The sequence below is a fragment of the Homo sapiens genome, chromosome 8, assembly GCF_000001405.40.
Source record: "Homo sapiens chromosome 8, GRCh38.p14 Primary Assembly".
NCBI classification, from domain to species: Eukaryota; Metazoa; Chordata; class Mammalia; order Primates; family Hominidae; genus Homo; species Homo sapiens.
The window spans coordinates 24,533,747-24,551,644 of NC_000008.11; the positions used below are offsets into that span (position 1 = coordinate 24,533,747).

Genomic DNA, 17,898 nt, shown 5'->3' on the forward strand with positions numbered 1-17,898 from the left:
TTCTTTTATTCATAATTGGCCCTCTGCCATGGATTTGTATTCTCCTATCTTCAGAGACCTAATTCTATGTATCCCGCAATGTCTAATTCAAATGCTACCTTTTTGATAAAAGTTTTTCCTCATTCCTTCCAGGTGCAATTTCTCGCTCCTTTCAAGGACCATCACCACTTTATTTTTATATCTTTTATATGTATTTATCAATTTTCCCCTTTTATCAATGGCCTAATTTGCAAACAAACAAACAAAAAACTCAATGTGTAATGAGTAAGCAGTAGTTTGAATCCTACCTTTGTTGCTTACTAAGTGTGTGATTTGAGGCAAGTCATTTAACTTGAGCTTCAATTTTTTTTTTTTTTTTTTTTGAGACGGAGTCTTGCTCAACTGTTGCCCAGGCTGGAGTGCATTGGTGTGATCACGACTCACTGCAACCTCTGCCTCTCGGGTTCAAGCAATTCTTCTGCCTCAGCCTCCCGAGTAGCTGGGAATACAGGCATGTGCCACCATGCCCGGCTAATTTTTGTATTTTTAGTAGAGACAGGGTTTCACCATGCTGGCCAGGCTGGCCTCGAAATCCTGATCTTGTGATCCGCCCGCCTCGGCCTCCCAAAGTACTAGGGTTACAGGTGTGAGCCACCACACCTGGCCTTTTTTATCATGTCAAAATATGGAAGATGGCTGCAAATTTTCAGGACTCACTACAATATAAACTCCATCCTAAAATAAAAGCCTTCCAGATCACTACGGAGCCTTGGGAGTCAACAAAAAGACTTTCTGCTAGGTGCCCTCTAAGGCTACTCCCTGTTTCATAAACCTCTGTGTACATTTTCCTATCCTCTGCAAGGCTACAAGCCCCTAGAGGATGGAGTTTATGATTTACTCACGTTTAGTCCCTTAACATAAGCACCATGCCTTGTACACTGTTAGTGCACTAGAAATGTGTGTTAAGTAAATCATGGAAAAGAATCATATAATGAAAGGGTGGTATTTTACATAAAGAATTAGACAAGTCTAGAATTTACTGGGAATGACCAAAGAAGTTGTATTCATTGATAACATCAGGATCTAAACCCAGGTGTCATGTCTCAGAGGCTAAGACTCCAATAACTTGACAGTTCATCCAATCATAAATAAAACAGTGAAAGGAACTCCAGGGATCATCTAGTTCAAGCACGTCGTTTTATAGGGTGTCCCTCCAACCGCTGAAATGCTTTTCCCACTTAATATAGCCAGAAAAGGCTACAGCAAGAGGCCAGGTTTGCTCTTTTCTCTAGAGATCTCTTCAGCTTGTCACTCTGCTTACCTCTGGAAGCCCTGTTGCTAGGCAACCATGAGCTCTTTCAACCACTTAAGTTTCAAGTGTATTTTATGAAATTTCTCTCCTTGATATACTTGAATGATGGTGGAATTTACTATGAGAAAGAACAAACCTGAAAACAGCCAGCTTGTGAGCTTAGGGAAGTTAACTCAGTCCGGTTCCTCTAACTGGACAACGGGATTGTTTTGCTTGATGTGAATAATGAATAGGCTACTGGCTTTACAGCATTAAGCACCCCGAGTCCACACCAGCTCTGGGCATGTGGATGAAAGTGCTTGCATGTTTTTTAAGGGTGGTGAATATTAATCTCACTATGCCCTTTTAAAATACAGATTTTTTCCATGAAAATTACATGTATTGGTTATTTGCTTTAACAAGATTTTCACTTGGAAACTTCCACATTTTCACTTGGAACCTGATTTTTATAGCAACTGCATATAGTACAGAGGCCTTTTTCTTGTACCTGATTTATGATCTTTCCCTGGAAATTGCCCTGGGGACCCCTCTGGCCCACTGCTGAACTCTGGTACTCTTGGTTTCTCTGGTTCCTTCAATAGGGGAGCAAATGGGAATTAAAACTGACTTCTTTAACTGGTTTCAGCCTTGCTATTCGTATTTGTCTGCAATGCAGCACAGCATTCTCTTCTAAGCACAGTGAGCTCTAACTCTGGCAGTGTTTTCATAATTTATAATATATTTTAATATTGGGACTCAGTTCACATATTTGGGAGGATTCAGTTAGTTGTTTCTCAAAGGCTTGGATATAATACGACGTTTGTAGCCAGTTGCTCTTCTGGCCATTATTTTGTCTCATAAGCCAACTCTGAAACCAGTTTACTTCACAAAAACTGACAATAGTGGTTTTATTTTTAGCTCTTGAGCCAACTCTGCAATGATAAACAGTCAGTTATTTCAAAGGTGATACAAGAGCTAGGAATTATTATTCCAAAATATTTGAAAGTTGCCAAGGGCCATACAAATTTTATTAAATCACTTATAATAAAACATGTGAGAATTACAAATTATAATAATTTACTTTTATATATCACTTTTCATAATACAAAATACCTTAATATTGATGCTTACAATGACCTTGTGGGATAGGCAAAGCTCTCTGAAGGTAGGTATTAGCTCCAATTTATACACTTGAGAAGCTGAGACTAAGGGAAGTAACATGACTTGTCAGGAACATTCTGTGGAGGAGCTAGGACTTTAACCCAAGACTTTCAGTTCCAAACTCACCTCTCTATTACTAATGATACTCTTTGCCAAATATCAGAAGATTACACTTATTGAGCTACTTATCCCATACCTTGGGTGGTAGAAAGTAATGATAACTCTAATAAATGCTAATACTAAACGTCATGAATACATTTGGAATTCAAGTTCTATGACATACATGCTATTATTTTCCACATTTTACTGATAAAGAAATTCAGGCAAAATCAAGTTACATAACTTGCCAAATGTCACATGTTTAAGAGAAAGGGTGAAGATTCAAATCGAGGCCAATTGCTGAGTTCTAAGCACCGCTATGACTGATATAAGAAATATAAGGCAGCTAGCTGCAGAGAAAGGACAGTGGTGACCAAGCAAGTTCACAGGTTCATTTGAGGATCCATCTTGGGACCTCATGTTCATTAACACAGTATTCACTTGCTACATGCTTCAAGCAAATAACTGGTTGGTTTACGACCATGCAGCTAAAGAATATTAGACTCAAGTACTGTGGGTCTAAGAACACAGCTGAATCTGGTGGGTCGGGGTCATAGAGATGATTCCTTCTCTAAGTTACTGATTGGGACACTTGCCTTTGATCCTGCTCTAAATAATTTCTATGTCTTTATTTTTTTTTCCCATGAGACATAACTTAAATAAAATCTGATAGGATGATCATATGTCCCCATTTTCCCAGGTCCTTACTGTTTTACTTCTGTTGTTTCAGAGTAATTATTGACAACAGCCCCTCTCACTCTCAAAGGCTTCCCAGTTTGGGTAGTAGATATTATGATAAGAAACCCATAATTTCCAGACTATCAAAATTTCAATTGAGTGGAAAACCTCACATTTTGTTGTATAACTGACTTGAATGTGGATAGTTAATAGCATTTTGCCTTGATTAGGTTGAACTTAGCTCAGTCTCCTGTCTTTCATCTGCAAGATGGATATACCAATATAAATCTTGCATACTTATTATAAGGATTACATTATACACAAGCATTGGCTCCCCGTGAATTTGTTCCCATTCTTCACTTCCAGTATCCTTTATTTAATACTTAACTGAGGGCTGACAGTTGTTCTTTTCTATATATGCTGCTCGTCTCTTAAAATAGGTAAGCCCCTCAGTGGTCATGATCGAATGTTAAATCACTGTAAGTCCCAGTCACTTGATATGCTTCCTTGTAATTGCTTTTTGTGTAATAAATGTTTGCAGATAGTGGATTTGTCTATGAGTAGATCTTATTGAAATATTTAAGCATCTCTAGTATACAATAGTTTCATGGAATCAATGTTAATGTCAGAAAGTCATCCAGCCACAAATCTTACTCTCTTCTGTAAGCAAGTTCATCCTGGTGGTTACAATGCTTCTTTTATGCTACTAGGGTATTCCTTAGCAAATAACTGCAAGATTGCTTTACATGTCATGGTGCATTGCAGCTAGAAGTCTTCCCTTCTTTCTGATCCTTATATCAATATTTGTTTTCTTCATTTTGTACATGATAAAAGTTCTTCCTTTATTAAGGAACTAAATAGTATAGCAGTGGCTTTAAAGTGATTTAGGTGCTCTGTAAGAATTTCCAAGTTCCTTAAAGAAGCACTGCATTGTATCTTAAGAAGGCACCACATGGTTTGGCTACAGAGAAAGTCAGTTCCAAGTTAAAGTTTACATGAAGATACGTTTGCAGGGGTCTTTGCAGCCTTCTGGACTGATGTGCATAGAATCTGTATAACACGCAGTTGAGAGGGAGAGTAAGACACAATGGCTAGCCTGAAACACACACACCAGAGCCATTCTAGAAGAATCTGACCCTGCTAGAAAGGCCAGCGGCAGAGATGACCAGGCAGGTCCCAGCGCAGTGAAACTGGCCTCAGTTAAGGTGTTCCAAGTGGTCAGTGTTGAGGAACAGAATGAGGTAGGGAGAGCATTTTATGGAAAAATCCAAGGAAGAGGGAGTAGGATTCTTGACAATCAGAGAAACTGTTGCTATGAGTCCAGGAAGTTTCCTCATTGAGAACTCTAGGCCTAGCCTCTTCAGGGATTAGGAATTATACTTCCTCCATAAACACTTATCACATTTTATAGCAATTTCTTGTTAATTATCTGTCACCTCACTAGACTGTAAACTATGTGAAGGTAAGGGAATCTCAGCCTTGTCCTGCTCTAATCCAGTACTCAGCAGGCACACTGTAATTGTTCAATAAATAATCGTTATGTAAATAAATGAACCAATAAGCTACATAAACAGCAGTATCTTAGCCATGAGTCTAGGTAGAACACTAAAGCAAAGCTTCATAAGGGAACTAATGAATCAGGCAAGTACCAGGTTGAAATTGTGGGTGTGATATGGACTCACCTCCATAGACAATATCCAAGGTCAACCTGGCAGAGACTCTATGGGACCACTGAAATTCAGGGTATAGCATATGGCTTAATCCCTAGTCTAACCAAAGAGAAGACACTACCATTGATATCCCCTGTTGCTGTTTTGCTCAGAGAACACAAGTCTGACTGTTAATAGGTCAAGCCTTGAGGAGTCACAAAAGGCACTGGGGTATTTGTCCTTGCATTAGGTCATTTTAAGCAGATGCTCCTGGCAGATTCTGTAAAATCTACGTATTGGCTTCATTTTTGTTGTAATTTGATGGAAAGCTGGGTATTGATTTTTAGAGTAAAAGCAAAAAATACTTGGAAAGGTTTTGATTCTTTCCATTAACTTTATTAGAACTATAACAAATCAGTCATCTATTAAGACCACAGCATTTTTATAGAGAAGACAGATTCCTACATTCAAATTGTTTTGTCCCAATCTCTGTCTCTCCCTAAGCAAACACAGTGTGTTACTCAACCATTCTTCTAAAGATATTTTTTTCTCGGGCAGGGCATGGTGGCAGCGCCTGTGGTCTCAGCTACTCAAGAGATGGAGGTGGAAGGAACACTTAAGCCCAGAAGGTCGAGGCTGCAGTGAGCTATGCTCACACCACTGCACTCCAGCTTGAGCAACAGAGTGAGAACCTGTCTCAGATAAATAAACCAATAAAAATAAAGAGATTAACAAAATAATAATTTAGAAAGACAAAAAATATTTATTTATTTTTTGAGACAGGGTCTCCCTCTGTCACCTAGGCTGGAGTGCAGTGGCATGATCATGGCTCACTGCAGCCAAGACCTCCTGGGCTCAAGCAATACTTCCAACTCAGCCTCCTGAATAGCTGAGACTATAGGTGTGCAGGACCATGCCAAGCTAATGTTTGCATTTTTAGTAGAGATGGGGTTTCACCATGTTGCCCACGTCTGTCTTGTGCCCCTGGCTCAAACAATCCATCTATCTCAGCCTCCCAAAGTGCTGAGATTATAGACGTGAGCCACCACACCTGGCCAATCTCCTCATTTTTTAATGTAAATAATTCCACTTTAGAAAGATCATTTGCTTATTTGCTTTGAGGTGAATTAAAGACTTAGGAAATATCAAAAATATTCAATATACATTTGACTCTATTAACATGTCTTCATCTTCTATTTGAAAAATTTTCTTAAAACACTATAAGGTAGCTTTTAAGGATACTTAAGGCTCAGCTATGAGTCACCCTGGGATAAGTACAGTTCAAGGTGAAGCTGAGGCTTGGTCAGATCAAAACCAATGGGATGAACATTAATATATGTAGCTCTGTATCCTAGGGCTTAGGCAAGAATTTGAAGTAGAGGATGTGCTCAGAAAGTGGACAAAACAATAGATGAAAAATTGAAAAAGTGAATGAATTAAATAATCTTGAAGGATGTGTCTGTTAATCAGCTAACCAGTGATACCAAATAATGCCCAAATAGGTAGAGGCAATTGGCTTACTATTGGTAGTGATAACATACAATCAGGTCAAACCTGTGGTTCCTGGCATGAGTTCCCATAGTTTGAATGGATGGCACAGCTCAAAAAAGACAAGTGACAGGAACGATGTCTAGATTCTAATAATGCTGAGCCACAGTTGAGGTTAAATCTCTTTTCTCACCATGGAAATGAAACGTTGAGCAGGAAGACAAGATTAAGAGGAACAAAGAGGCCTACACCTCAGAGGCAAAGGTGAAGACTGTAGCCTTGTGGCTTTCAGATGCTCATGGCTCATGAGAGGTGAGGCAGATCAATGACAACAAATCTAATTCACGACCTACGCCGTCACTGAATTTTTTTCTGTTCTGATGGGGATTGGCTACAAACTGGGAGGGAAGTTAGGGCGAAGTGAGGGTTTCAGTATCCCATGGCAGAAATAAGTGGGGAGTCACAAAATGCACTGGGGATTTGTCCTTGCATTAGGTCATTTTAAACACACGCTTCTGGCAGATTCTGTAATATCTATGTATTGGCTTTATTTTTATTGTAATTTGATGGATGGAGAGTGATACCAAAAAATTCCTGCTAAGTACAACATTTTCTTTCTCACCACCTAGGATGAATGAATCTTATCTAGCGTAAAAGAGAGATGCTAAAGGAGATGCCAGAGAGGGTGGGTCTATGTACCTGCCTGTCATCCCTACAACTGCTTTGTGATCTAGGTTTCATTTCTCCCAGTTTTACAGACAAGGAAACTAAAGCTCATGGAAATTAAATAATTTATAAAAATTTACAATACAGGAAGAGACAGAGATAGTTATCAAAGGTAGATCTTTTTCAATCTTATGGCACCTTCAGCTAATTTAAGACTCTGAGAATCTAAGTCTATGAACTGCAACAGAAACAAAAGACACTGCCTGCCCTTCTTTTTTGGACTGGGCTGTCCTCACCTGTTAGCTATTAAGAAGTGTGATCATTTTCAGTCCTTACTCCAGAGTCTGACTCCAATCATCATCCCTATTACCAATCTTCAGATGTGTATTCTGAGAGAGATTGAAAACTTGTAACTCCTAAATCTTGACTTCACAGGACAGAAGAAAAAAATGTAAGCAGTCAAAAATGTGAATTCAGACTAATAGGAACTGCTTTAACTAGAAGAGATGAGATATTATTATGACCTAAAGGATTCATGGGACTAGAAAGAGAGGTAATGGCAAAAGCGTCCCTATACCAGAGAAGAACGAGTAAGTGCTCATGGTTAACTATAGGAGATTTTTAATTCACGGATCCTTCCAATGCTGCTCAAATCCTTAAGCTGTATTCATCCTTCTTGTTCCCACATGTGTAGATTTCTATTCCCCTCCCCAGCGCATAAATCCAACACTAACTCCCAGTTTACCAAAGACAGATGGTTAAGGAGGTGTAATCCATGGGAAATAGATGTTTCCAAAGCCACAAGGTTTAGTACATATAGTAGAGCATCAGTCTATGGTTCTCCTTGCTCTTTTATTTTTTTCAAGAACTGGTATCTTTTTAGCATTCAAACAGAGGTGTTATGAGTCAGCAAAAAGAAAATAAAGTTTTTGTTATAAGTCAAATTTACTATTAGTATTGTTGTATGTTTTGAATGGAAATAAATGGCATTCACTTCTTTAATCTATCCATATGCTACATGTATATCACCGAAAATGTCTTTAGTATCAAGAGTTAGCTCCAACACTGCACTACATAGATTTATACACACAAGGGTTAAAGTATTAAAAACTATCTTAAAGCGACATGGAAAACGAACAGCCAATGAAAAGCTCTTTTGATGAGGTAATGCTATTTGCTTAAGTTTCATTGGTTGAGTCTAAAATTTCTGTTTCCAGGAGTTGGAGGACAAGTTTCTCTGCAACCAGAAAGAACTGGATAGTCTCCAATTGCTTATATAAGATACTTTATGATCACTCAGTAAAAGCAAGTCCCTCCTCAACTTGCCAATAGCCTAGAATTATTTCCCAACAAATTCATACATAAACTAGCCTGCAGGGATTTCTGCTTGTTCCAAAACAAAATCTACATAAGAGATTAAGAAATGCAGAGTTAAATTCTGAGTAATTATATTTGTGTACTATGTTGAAAGGAATATTAAACTATAAGTTAACACACCTCGTTCCTCATCCAAGCTCTGATACAGTCACCTTGGCAACCTTGTGCTGCTACTTACCACTTCTAGAATTTAGGTTCATCTTGTTTTTGTTTTTCAAAATTCTTATTTCTTGCTGAAAAATGACAATAATTGTGGCAGTCCTACCTATTCCGCAGACTTTTTGCATGCAAGGGCATCCAATGAAATATTGAATATGCAAGAGCTCTGAAAAATATCATATCTACCTCAACTTACAGGGTTTCCTGTAATTTTATGGAAAGATGACATTATGACTCCTTTTTGAGGTAACATTAGCACCCTTCATAAGCAAGCACAGAAATCCTCTTAGCTAGATATGATACGTCCATATGTTAAAAGAAAAAAAAAAACCAACAGAAACTGAGAAGGTAGTCTGCTTTAATGCTAGGGAGGAAGATACAGATTTCATTGAGGTAGAGTTCTATCCAAGCCAAACCGTCTTGAGACTTAATTATCTAATTAGAATAGCTCTCTTAGCTTTGTGAAATATAGATAGGCTGTTTGTCCCATTGGGAGTTTTAAATCCTATCTTCAAGGCCACTAGACTTTGAGGCAACTATCCCACTACTCATTGCAATGTCTAGCCATCTAAGTATACAACCCACTGCATAGGCACATTGGTAGCTTCAAGTCTATTGCTATCTTGGCAAGAAAAAAAATGCAACAGATTTATTTTCTGGGAGAGAGTTCTAGTTATACATCTTAACATATTTAAAAGCAAAACTCTTGATATTCTTACTACCCAACTCTAGCCTTCCCAAATCCCTACCTCTTTCATCTCAGTAAATGGCAATCCCATCCTTCATGTTGCTTAAGCAAAACACCTTGGAGTCATCTTTATTTCTTCTCTTTTTCTCCACCCGACCTTGACTCTATCAGCAAATACTGCCAACCTACTTTCAAAATACACTCACAATCCAGCCTCTTCCACTCATAATCACCACTGTGATTATCACTCTGGTGGAAACTGCTGCCATTTTTTCCCCTTGGATTATTGCAAAAACCTCCTAGTTAGTCTCCCTGCTTATGCCTATCCCATACGATCTACTGTTCAAAGAGCAACCTGAGTAATTCTCCTAAAAAGTTAATGAATAACGTCACCTCTCTGCTCCAGACCCTCAGAGGTCCCATCTCACTCAAAGTGAAAGTCAGAGGCCTTACACTGACCTGGCCCCAACATGACTTCCCTACTCCTCTTCTACTACTGCCCTCTTCTGTACCTGGAATACAGCAAGCATCCGCATCCGCCCTCCACACCTTTGCACTGGGTGCTTCCTCTGTCTGGGATGACCATCTTCCAGCAAACTTTCTCTTGCTCTCTCCTCATCTTTATTCTCAATTAGAACCATTTCAATTGCATTCTTAATCTACTCTCATTGCAATGGTTAATTTTGTGTGGCGACTTGACAGGGTTAAGGGATGCCCAGATAGTTGATGAAACATTATTTCTGCTTGTGTCTATTTCCAGAAGAGAGGAGCATTTGACTCAGCACACTGAGTAAAGAAGATCCCCCCTCACCAAGGTGGGTGGGCATCATGAAATTCATGGAGAGACAAGATGGAGCAAAAAGGTGGAGGAAGGGAAAATGCACTCTCTCTCTTATTCTCCCTCCTTCCCTTCCTCCCTCCCTTCCTCTCTCTCTCACGTAGACACACATACACACACATCTTGAACTGGAGCATCTATCTTCTCCTGCCCTCAGAAATTTTAGTTCTTGGTCTCTGCATCTTCAGGTTCCAGGACTTACACTGGCACAACACTAGCACCCCCTCCAAACACACACCCTGTTCTTAAGACTTTAGACTCAGGGTGGGAGTCACACCAGGGGCTCCCCTCATTATCAGGCCTTCAGACTCAGGGTGGGAATCACACCATGGGCTCCCCTGATTCTCAGGCCTTCAGACTTGGGCTGAATTACACCACCAGCTTTCCTTGTTCTCCAGCTTACAGATGGCATGTCATGGGTCATCATCTTCATAAACGCATGAACTGATTTCTGTAATTAAACTCATATATATTAATTATGTTTTTCTACAGAACCTTGACTATTAAACCCATATAAAATTATATCTTCTACACAAACCCTTTCTTGTCTACATTGCTATGTTTTTCTCTACAGTTCTTGTTGCTATCTAGCAGATTTTAGGTTGTCTTGTTTATTGTCATCCTTTTGCACGACAACATAAGCTCCATGAGGACAGGATTTGATAATTTTTCTTCCATATTCACAGCGCCTAGCAGTAGGTGCTGAAAAGTATTTAATATAGTACGCAGGAAAGGTAGTGTATTCACATCTTACTTGAAGTAGTCATAAAATATTTAATACTTAAGGAAAACCAAAGTGTAATTATGAACTCTTAAAATTGATCCTAAAAATATTGTAATTTATATGTTCCCAGAGGAGGCATTCAGTCAGTGTCAGTATCATTGCACTAAGTGTATAGATGCTCAAGGACATTCTATTGATTGGAGAAATAGGAAAAAGTAATGTATAAATGAATGCTTAGAATTACTCAGACACTGGGAGATTTTCTTTCTTTAGCATTTTGATCTAATTTCAGGAATCTCAGTGGTTAATAATCATTTAAATGTACATATTCTTATGCATTCATTATAAAATCAGTCCTTTTTGTTGATGTATAAACACATGTGTACCAATAAGATACTGAAATATCACCTATTATCCTGACTACAGACAGTGAAATTCTGATATATGAGTAAGTTACTCTCTAAGCCCAAGTTAACTAGTTATTCATGTAGGTTGAGAAGTGCATACTTAATTCATCTCAGATAGGAAGAATTTTTAAAATGATCTAGAAAAATCAGCATGTCTCTGAGAACCTTATTGATGTGCAGAGGGAGTACCTTCATAAGAAACAATATGGTATATATTAAAGAAAATATTATTCTGATACTTGTTAAAAGGATACAAAAGATTTTAATGAGGACTATTACCATAGGTATCAAGACCATTAGAGTAGGGGAGAGAGATGACCTCTGAATACAAAACAGACCTTTAAGGATTTATAGCCAAAGAGCAGAGTGAGAGAATCAGTGGAGAGAAAATTACTGGCTGGGTGCAGTGGCTCATGCCTGTAATCACAGCACTTTGGGAGCCAAAGCGGGCAGATCACTTGAGGCCAGGAGTTCAAGACCAGCCTGGCCAACATTGCAAAACCCCGTCTCTACTAAATATACAAAAATTAGCCAGGCGTGATTGTGCACACCTGTAATCCAGGCTACTTGGGAAGCTGAGGCACAAGAATCACTTGAACCCAGGAGGCTGAGGTTGCAGTGAGCCGAGATAGCACTGCTGCACTACAGCGTGGGTGACACAGTGAAAATCTGTCCCAAAAAAAAAAGAGAAAAGAAAAGAAAAGAAAATTACTAGGAGGTGACAGCTAGGATCCAGGGTAGTGGGATTCTTGCTAAACTGACTTAACAAGATTCTTACCAAAGGTAAGCCAAGTATATATGCACCAAAGGCTGAGAATGAGAAATCTGATGAGTTATCGAGGATGATCGGATATCAAGGATGGGAAGATTCTTGCTAAAGTGGCTTAGCAGGATTCTGGCTAAAATTGCACTAAGCAGGCCTAAGGTAAAACCCAAGAATGAGGCCTAGTCTTAAAGGCAGCTCAGAGGAGCCTGGCTAAGGTCTGGTTAATGAGAGAACCTTTATTATATAAAAGATCATATCAAGAGCCCATCTGAAGTTCATTTGTCTCCAAATATCATAAATAAGACTTGGCCATTATTTAATTCAACAATATGCATCCACTGACCTTGCTGTAGGCACTGTGCTCAATATAGAAGAAATAAATTCAAATATAATGCCATTTTGACCTGGGAACTCCCACTCTAGTGGAGAGACCAAAGTGTAAAATAATCATCACAATGTAATACAGCATGTGCTTTAATAGAGGGTGAAGAACATATTATGAAACACAAGGAAGAAAGGGAATTGATGTTGAACAAAAGAGAAAAATACAGGGGTCATGGAAGTCTTCACAGCAGTCTATTCTTTCGGTTTGGGTCTTGATGGAAAGGTAGGAGTTTACTGATCAGAAAAATAAAATTGAGGAATATCTTTCAAGGAAAAAGCAACAACACTTACATAGGTTCAGAAATACAAAACAAATAAGATAGCTCACTGGGAGATGCAAGAAGAGGCTGGACCCAGCATGGGGTGCCTGAAGAGGAATGGAAATGAGTAAGGCAGGTAGTCACCTGGATCCAGATTGTGATGGACACTGTACTCTAATTGCGTCCCTGGGTTTGGGATGCAATAGGATCCTATAGGAGGAACAGAGGAGTGGAAGTCAGATTTACAGTTTAGAAAGATTTCTCTGACACAAGTGGAAGAGGGAGACTGAAGTATAAACAGACCAAATAAAAAAGACTACTTTGGTGGTTTCTGGACTCTAGGAGAAAAATAATAATGAGGGTTTCAAGGAAGGCAAATGAGGTTGGAAAGGAAGTGACAAATTTAGAGGGGACAGATTTTCATTAGAAATCCAATGTTAATTATAAGGTAAGACTTCTGAGTGCTTATGAAGATAGTGGTAGTATTAATACATATAAAGAGTATAGAAAAATGAAATAAAATAAAAACGTGTCACCTGTGGGGTATATAGAGAGATTTGTTTCGAATATGTTGAATTTAAGGTGCTCAAGTGACCTCCAAGTCTAGATGTCTGGAATGCAGATCTGTGTGTGGGTTTGTGACGCAGGTGGAGGTAGAAGGTGAGACGGGAAATTGCAAATCACTGTAACAGAAACAGGAGTTTGAACCACTAGAGATGGAGAGCGTACACAGGAAGAACACCGTGTGAGAAGACAACAAAAATGGAACCCAGGTGCACTCATGCATAAGAAAAACCACTGTGTGTTCAATTAAAAAGAAAAGGCTTATGTTATATAACCCCAACTGTTCCTAAGCAGGATGAATTATGTTAGTAAGAAAAGCCCTGTTTTGAGAGTACATTGATAGGTTTAGATAAGCAAATATGAGATATGCAAATCTGCTAAATTACTCTGCAAATGAGAACAAGAGAATTGAAGTTCTTTAGAGAAAAATACAGACAAAAGAACCAAAAAGGAAGACTAGATGCTTAGGGAAATCAGAAAGCGAGATTCTGGCAGGAACTTTAGAAAAAATATGTTTCAAAAACATTTGAAATTCTATGTTGTGATTTACACTCTTCCCAAATGAAAACTTCAGTAAGTCCACAGTTCTCTAATATCTTTTTACACCTGTGGATTCACTGGTCTGGGATTGTGTGGAGGGGGTCAGTTCTCTAAGAGCTATTGATTTCCACTTTTGGCTACTTAGTGCAATTAAAAGACAATGTTTATAAGATAAGACAGAGGAGGCCATGAGAGACTAGGCAGCAATAACTGACACACAAAAAAATTGTGAGGAGGACTTCCTACTTCCCCCAGGGGCTAGAAGTTTCCTGTTGACCCATGTGCTACACAGTATAGATATTCATAAATGATATATACCAACAAAACACATACAACACATTTAGCTAGCTAGCTAGCTATGTGATCTTAGGCAAGTTTCCAATATTTACCCATATACAGACTCACTTACATATGCCTCTGTATTCTTATATCAAATTCAAATTCAAAATGATAGCCTCATTGACATGCATAGCATGTCTATATATTTAACCTCCTTTCTATTAATACATTCCCTACCATGTGCATATGCAAATTGTTGCTTCACTGTACATCCCCAAAAATACAGGAACAGTATATGTATTGTTTTTTGTTGCTTGTTATTTTAAGCTACATATTCGCCAGGTGTGGTGGCTCACACCTGTAATCCCAGGACTTTGGGAGGCTGAGGTGGGTGGATTACCTGAGGTCAGGAGTTCGAGACCAGCCTGGCCAACATGGTGAAACCCTGTCTCTACTAAAAATACAAAAATTAGCCAGGAGTGGTGGCACATAATCCCAGCTACTCAGGAGGCTGAGGCAGAATTGCTTGAGCCTGGGAACGGAGGTTGCACTGAGCTGAGATCGTGCCACTGCCCTCCAGCCTGGCCGACAGAGCAAGACTCTGTCTCAAAAAAAAAAAAAAAAAAAAAAGCTACATATTAATCTCTGGTTTTAGAAGAAGATAATTTTTTAATTTTATGAGGTTTTGTGTTAGGCGAATCATGCAAAGCAGATATAAGAAACTTAAAAATATTTCCATAATGCAAAAACATAAATCAGAAGGCTTTTTTAGAAAAATCAATACAGCCAAGCAAACCTTATGTGCATTCTGCAGGCAGCTGCTGTCAAGTTTCCATGTTGCCCTATGGGTCTCAGAGGACGCCCTTATTCTTTCTGCAGATACTGCAGAGATGTGGGTGTGGTTTCCAATACAGAAGCTAACTGTCTATGAATATTCATAAACACACTCTAGCTAAAACCTTCTAAGGGTTTTCTGGGAACAGTTAAAATAGCAACAGTAAATTTTAATCTAACCAGATAAAATAGATAAGGAAGGATGCTGAGTTATTTGAAAATGAATATATAAAGCACCCACTCCCAAAGTCTGTTCAGCACAGAGCCAGTTTCCTCCAAATCAGTCCCCTCTGAGTTATGAGGGCATGTTACTTGAAACAGATTGGTAAGGAACAAGAAGCACAATTCACAGAAGCTACAAAACAATAGGATCCAATGATATGTTAAGACAGTGTCTATAATTGGTTATTTCTGAATCCCTAGGAAAAGTTCCAAAACTCAGCCTCAAACTTTCCTTACATAGTATTGATTTTTTACAAAATTGTGCACTTAAGCATTGTTTTCCCAATCATGAGCTGATCTTTGCGCAACATGTGAAAAATACAAAGTTGTATAAAGAAAGCCAAAATACATTTAATTCCTCAATCCAAAAATTATAAATGCTATAAACATAGAGACAACTATTTTATCTTACATAAAACTCTATGTGCAAATTTATCTGTGTATCTATCTACCATCTATCTAACCTATCTATACATATATACACATACATATCACATAAATCTCTTCATACAAATTTATCCATATATCCATTTATCTATCATCCATCTAACCTATCTATACACATATATACATACACACAATATTTTTAAATGGATATTTTATATATTTAAAGACAGTGGTAGTTTATCTATATACTGTTTGATATCTCTCTTTTCAGGTTATATCAAGGTCACTTTGCTAAATTTTTACAAATGATCTAAAATCCCATATTATGGATATGCTATCATGCATGTAAATAAACTTTAATTGTTGGATATTTAGTAATTTTTATTTTTTGCTATCATAAATAAGAGTATAATAAATATTACTGTACATAAGTCTTTATGGGCATTTCTGTTTATTTCCTATAAATAAATTTCTTGATTAGGATTAGCCTGGTAAACTTCCACAAAATTTTAGAGAATGTATAGAAATTTTTGCTCTTAAACGAATATTGCTTATTTTGCCCTATAGTCACAACTAAGATAATAAGTATTATCACAATAGCAAAAAATACTAATCTGCATTATTGGATTACTAACAAAGGGAACATTCCCATATGATTATTTATTTCTTTTCCTATTATTTGGTAATGATCATATTATATCCTTGATCATGGTCTTTAATAGTGCAAAAAATAATTTTTATAGTATTTATTTCACTCTCTGTTTCTATCATTATCAAATACAGTTTTAGCAAAATGTAAATTTTTGTTAAATGAATTGGAAAGCTTTTGATCTTATTTTCTTTTAACCTGGCATAATTAGTTATGGACATTAAATCTTGGAAATTCAAAATAAAGATAGACCTGGAATTACTAGTTGCGGCAACAGTATTTTTCAGATGTAATTTTTTGGCCAAAAAAAAAAAATCTCATATTTGCATATCCATGATCAATTCCTATCTTCTATTTATTCTTAAATCAAATGAAGTCATAACATTTTCCAGAAATTATGTTTATTCTGTCAAGAATTCAAATGAATTAAAATTTATTAGCAGAGTATTCTACATGTTAGTTATTTAAAATATATTTTTTATTAGTCACATATCGTTTTTATTTATAACATTGTGGGGTTTTTTTCCTCTATCTTTTCTTAAGATAGATAAAAGTTTAGTTAATTAGTACTTTATTTTCTGGGAAGTTATCATTTTAATTTATAAGTGATCTTTGTATTCCCACTTAAAGTTTTTGCCCTGGAACCCTCTAGCTGTAACTAATGTTATTTACACTTTGCTTTAGTATTTTATAAATTTTTCATCCAAAATATTCTCTCCAACAAGTTACTGATAACAAATCCATTTCACCTTATTTTGGAAGAGATTACTGAACAACAGAATTGTTCTTTGCTTTTGTCCAGTTTATAATCAGGCTGTTTATCTTGGTTAAACGTTTTATAAAAACTCATGTTGGGTATTTTATTACATTTTGTTATACCTTTTTTTCTATTTTGCTCTTTGAGCTAAGATTTCTTATTGGATTTTGCTTTTCTCCAATAATTTGGAGAACTTAAAACCATTTCGCATCTTATGTATGATTAACTCAAACTTTTAAAACTATATTGGAAATGTATGTTTCTAATAATAAGTGTTAGAAATGGGAAAATATTAACTGACTTCTATTTTAAAAGATATGGTGGGGTTTTTTTTGTTTTTCTGTTTTGGTTTGTTTTGGTTTTTTGAGACGGAGTCTCGGTCTGTCACCAGGCTGGAGTGCAGTGGCGTGATCTCGGCTCACTGCAACCTCTGCCTCTGGGGTTCAAGTGATTCATCTGCTTCAGCCTCCCGAGTAGCTGGGACTACAGAGACGCACCACCATAAACTTCCTATACTGTTATGCTTCGGGTGCTATTTTCCCAGATATACCTATGATATTTTTAATTAGTTGTTTGTTTGACTTTCTTTTTGTCACTAGGTTTTAGTTTCCTAAACTTAACTGATTATCAAAATCACATTGGGCTTTGGTTGCAATTCTGAATTTTTTGGTTCCATCCAAACCTACCTAATCATACTCTCTAGGAATAGGCCTGGGAATTAATATTTTCAGCATGTACTTGAGGTGTGCCTTTGAGCTTGTTTAAAAGGTGTGTTTACATTCAACATTTTTTAGAGTTCGCATTCAACTTTTTTTTTTTTTAACCCAGGGGATCTGATTGATCTGCAAACTAGAGTATCATTCAAGAGTCTTTTCTGTTATCTGTATATATATATTATTACTGTTCCATTTGTGGGGTTTTTTTTTCCTTTTTTATTAAGAATGCCAATTATGTGTAGATTATCTCCAGTTTTTATATGAAAACTTTCACCCTTTAGCCATTTGAATGTTTTTGCTTTTAATGGTGTGAGTTTTTGTCTATCATGATTCCAT

At 37.3% G+C, this 17,898-nt stretch overlaps 1 long non-coding RNA gene across 1 annotated transcript in view; it reads right to left on the minus strand.

Annotated features, from left to right (window-relative positions):
* The window catches only part of ADAM7-AS1 (ADAM7, ADAMDEC1 and ADAM28 antisense RNA 1), a 252,805-nt gene extending 237,933 nt beyond the window's left edge, over window positions 1-14,872 (minus strand). Inside the window, exon 1 of the long non-coding RNA NR_125808.1 lies at window positions 14,794-14,872. This is a non-coding gene — a long non-coding RNA (ADAM7, ADAMDEC1 and ADAM28 antisense RNA 1). The remainder of the gene's footprint in view (window positions 1-14,793) is intronic.
* Between the last annotated feature and the right edge of the window lie 3,026 nt (window positions 14,873-17,898).